The sequence below is a fragment of the Homo sapiens genome, chromosome 7 (assembly GCF_000001405.40).
Source record: "Homo sapiens chromosome 7, GRCh38.p14 Primary Assembly".
NCBI lineage: Eukaryota > Metazoa > Chordata > Mammalia > Primates > Hominidae > Homo > Homo sapiens.
Genome location: NC_000007.14, coordinates 55,295,888 through 55,300,614, shown reverse-complemented (window position 1 = coordinate 55,300,614; position 4,727 = coordinate 55,295,888). Strand labels below are relative to the sequence as shown.

Genomic DNA, 4,727 nt, shown 5'->3' with positions numbered 1-4,727 from the left:
TTAATTCCATTGTAGTTGAATGACATATTTGGTAGAATTTGGGTTTATAAAAATTTACCAGTACTTGCTTTACGACCCAGAATATGATTTATTCTGGGTATACTTCAAAAGAGTGTATATTTTGCTGTTGTTGCATGGAGAGGTCTATAAATGTCAATTAGGTCAGATTGGATAAAAATGCTGTTCAAGTTTTTTGCATTCCTATTGATTACTATCTATTTGTCCTTTTGATTACTGAGAGAATGGTGTTGACATCTCTGACTATAATTACTGATTTGCCTATTCTTTCTGTGTTATCAGTTTTTGCTTCATGTAATTTGAAACTCTGTAATTAGGAACATAAACATTAAGATTGTTATGTCCCCTTGTTAGGTTTTTGTTTTTGTTTTTGTTATGTTTTTTGAGACAGAGTCTTGCTCTGTCGCCCAGGCTGGAGTGCAGTGGCATGATTTCAGCTCACTGCAACCTCTGCCTCCCAGATCAAGTGATTATTGTGCCTCAGCCACCTGAGTAGCTGAGATTACAGGCATGCACCACAACACCTGCCTAAATTTTGTATTTTTAGTAGAGACGGTGTTTTGCCATGTTGGCCAGGCTGGTCTTGAACTCCTGGCCTCAAGTGATCCACCTGCATTAGCCTCCCAAAGTGCTGGGATTACAGGCGTGAGCCACGACGCCCGGCCCTCCTCTTGTTGAATTCACACTTTTGTCATTATGAAGTCACTCTCTTTGTTCTTCACATTATATTTCCCCTGAAAGTTCTCAGATAATATTTTTAAAATGACAGAGCCTCTACAGCTTTCATTTGATTACTGTTACTGTATCTATTTCCGTCCTTTTTCTCTGTGTCTTTATATTTAGCATAGGTTTTTTATAGGCCGCACACAAGTTGTGTCTGCCTTTTTAAACATCCAATCTGAAAACCTTTGCCTTTTAATTGTACATTTGGCTCATTTACAGTGTGAAAGGAAAATAAGTCTTGGGACTCCAAAAATCACTAAGCTAAAGGGAAAAGTCAAGCTGGGAACTTCTTAGGGCAAACCTGCCTCTCATTCTATTCAAAGTCAACCCTCTGCTCATTGAGTAAATGCATATTTGATTGCTTCCTTTTGAGAGGCTAATCAGAAACTCAAAAGAATGCTACCCTTTGTCTCTCACCTACGTGTAACCTGGAAGCCTCTTCCATGCTTCCAGTTGTCCTTCCTTTCCAGATGGAAGCAATCAACTTCTTACATATATTGATTGATGTCTCATGTCTCCCTAAAATGTATAAAACCAAGCTGTACCCCAACCACCTTGGACACATGTTGTCAAGACCTCCTGAGGCTGTGTCACAGGTGCGCATCCTCAACCTTGGCAAAATAAACTCTCTAAATTAACTGAGATCTGTCTCAGATATTTGGGGTTCACATTTTGGTAACCACTGAGGGATTCTGAGTGGAGGTGCCCCTGACCTTTGACAAATCTCCCATCGGTTCTTGGTACCAATTTGAGTTATCTTTATGGTTCGAATGAGTAGGACAATTTGCTGAGGCCTGGAAGTACCCCCTCCAGAGAATTCCTGATCTCCCAAAATTTGGTCAAGATCTAAAGTTTATTTTGCTGTACAACTTCCTCTTCTCTGAGTTTTACTTGCTTCTAACACAAGGAAGGCAAGTTTTCCTGCTTTGATGTTGAAGGAAAGCTCCTTCTGGACTCCTTTATGGAGTTTGAGCTCTCTTCCAACAGGGAAGACAAGTTTAAGTTTTCTCCTGCATCTAGGATAGTAGAGAGCAGTCTTCGGCCTGAGACCCATCCCTAGGTAAGTAACTGAATTGGGGTTTGTCTTGGCTAAAATTTAATTTCTCCTTAGTGTTACAGTGCTCAGTAATAGTATAAGTTGTGGGATCATTTGTTTTGCTTAACTGGTTTTTTTTTTTTTTTTGGTTGGTTGATTGTTTCTGTTGTTCTTGTTGTTTCAGTCTTTCTTCCATTGGGTTTGACCAACTCTATTTGACTTGATCAAATCTGAAGGGAAGTTCCAAATTATGGGAACGAGGACTCCCAAGTGGCTAAATTCCCATACACACACACAAAAAGGTGGTGAGGTGGGGGGAGAAAAATGGCCAGCAAAAGGGAAACAAAAAGGAAAGATTTTTTATTTTGAGTACTTAAGGGTCTTTATTAACATAACGAGGCCACCTTTTTGCTAGCCAGGCCAAACGGAAAGAGCAATGGCTGTCGCCCCGTGCTGCAGTTCCATAGCTAAAGTTCTGCCTTCTCTTTTCACCACAAGAGCCTGGATTTGGTTCCCAAATCAAGCCCTTTCTCATTTGATACTTGGTACTTCTGAAATAGCAGGAATTTGTCCTAGCGGAAATATGGTAATGAGATTTTAAAAGATTTTTTTAAAGGAGCTCAACTGGACTAAAGGTCAGCTTAATTAAAAGCTAACATCCAAGATTCCTCTGTGTGTGTGTGTGTGTGTGTGTGTGTGTGTGTGTGTGTGTGTTTGTACTTAAAAGGCCTTCATGTTTTTGTTTTTGTTTTTTTTCTCCTAGGACCTTGTTTTTTTTCAGCAAAAGTTTTTTCTTCTAGTTGAATGAATTCTGTTTTCTTCATTTACTTCTGCTGTCTCCCCTTTCTCTTGCACCCTCTGCTGCATGAGAGACCTAAAATAGTTTTAGTAGATTAGATTGGGATTCCTTAAAGAAAACAGAAAAGGTGCCAGACTCCCTTTTGGGGAGAAACCTCTGTTTTTCCTTATGGAACCCCAAGAGTGTAAACAGACAAGTTCATCTCAGCTCTTAAACTGCTTGCTTTTGTATTGTGTTACCTGATTTTTTTACTAAAATAGCTATTGGAACAGAGACTACTCTTGTGTGTTTTTAAGGAAGAGTGTAGTTTAGACACTTATAAATGTTTTTGTTTAAAAACATTTTTAAGTGCACTGTAGCTGGGCACGGTGGCTCACGCCTGCAATCCCAGCACTTTGGGAGGCCAAGGCGGGCGGATCATGAGGTCAGGAGATCGAGACCATCCTGGCTAACACGGTGAAACCCTGTCTCTACTAAAAATACAAAAAAATTAGCCGGGTTTGGTGGCGGGCGCCTGTAGTCCCAGCTACTCTGGAGGCTGAGGCAGGAAAATGGCATGAACCCAGGACGCAGAGCTTGCAGTGAGCCGAGATCCTGCCACTACACTCCAGCCTGGGCGACAGAGCGAGACTCCGTCTCAAAAAAAAAAAAATTTTTGTCTCAAAAAAAAAAAATTTTTTTTTAAGTGCACTGTAAAAGCATCGTGTGGTCTAGCCTCATAATAATTCTCCCTTTTTGGAGACCCAGGATTCCAGTGATGGCTCTGCCCAGAGCTCAGAGATCCAGTTAAAATATAGGTAGTCTCTATCTAAATAAATTGGTCTCCTTAGACAATCCTATGATAGATTTCTATAATTTTATGTTTGATTTGGCATACATCTTTAATCTCCCTCTAGCACCACCAGACTTTTTCTCTCTGTACCTTGAGATGTAAATTTTGCTGATTTTTCACCTAAGAATTATTTCCTTCAATATGCAGACTTAGGGCTATTTAACTGACAACTGCCAGAGTAATGAAACAGGTTATCAAGAGTTTGCAAGTCTAAGATAGGAAAAAAAAAAAAAAGAGAAGGTCTTATGAATCGATAAGATGTACTTCTACTGTTATGCCTAATACTGTTACCGGTGGAGGGTCTTGACTACAAGTTGTCCAGGTTCTTGGCATTTTGAACAAAGAATTGAACAAAACTCACAAATAAAGTAGCAGAGGAATGAAATGCAGGAACACAGCAGTGAAAGCAGGAATTTATTAAAGCGAGAAAGCACTCCACAGGGTGAGAGTGGGCCCCAGCAACAAGCTCAAGGACCCAGTTACAAATTGTTTTGGGCTTTAAGTACCCCATTTGAGGTTTTTTTTTTTTTTTTTTTTTTTTTTCCGGAGTTTTGCTCTTTTGCCCAGGCTGGAGTGCAGTGGAATGATCTCAGCTAACTGCAGCCTCTGCCTTCCGGGTTCAAGTGATTCTCCTGCCTCAGCCTCCCGAGTAGCTGGGATTACAGGCACCTGCCACCACACCCGGCTAATTTTTGTACTTTTAGTAGAGACTGGGTTTCACCATATTGGCCAGGTTGGTCTCAAACTCTTGATCTCGTGATCTGCCTGCCTCAGCATCCCAAAGTGCTGGATTACAGGCATGAGCCACCCGGCCCATTTGAGGTTCTTATTGGCTACCGCTTATCTGGATTTGGTCTATGGCTAATTTAAGGCTGAGGTGAATTGGCGCCCTGTGCAGATGAAGGGAAGGTCCCCTGCTTGGCCCATAGCCAACCCAAGGCACTCTCCTTTTCCCCCTGAGACGTGGCGGAAGTGGGAGGGCTGTAGCAAGAGTAGCCTTTGATCCTTTGTTACCTGGGGTGGGGAGACAGGGTTTTTCTCTTTTGATTTAGCTGTAGGAAGTTTGTGTTAGTTGGCCTTAGGTTACCTGCCCACAGACCCAGGTGTTTTCCTTTTATCCAGCTTTGGGAAGTCAGCTTGAATGGGCCTTAGATTCCCTGCCCCCCAGGCCTTGGTGTTTTGTCTTTTTTTTCCTTTTTCCTTTTTTTTTTTTTTTTTTTTGAGACGGAGTCTCCTCTGCTGCCCAGGCTGGAGCGCAGTGGCGTGATCTCGGCTCACTGCAAGCTCTGCCTCCCGGGTTCACGCCATTCTCCTGCCTC

At 41.8% G+C, this 4,727-nt stretch overlaps 1 annotated feature.

Annotated features, from left to right (window-relative positions):
- Positions 772-1,470: an enhancer, noted in NCBI's record as "OCT4-NANOG-H3K27ac hESC enhancer chr7:55366838-55367536 (GRCh37/hg19 assembly coordinates)". NCBI's record gives its function as "activates a minimal SCP1, AML or CMV promoter by ChIP-STARR-seq in naive and primed H9 embryonic stem cells {active_cell/tissue: H9 hESC(naive and primed)}" and the evidence as "EXISTENCE:reporter gene assay evidence [ECO:0000049][PMID:30033119]".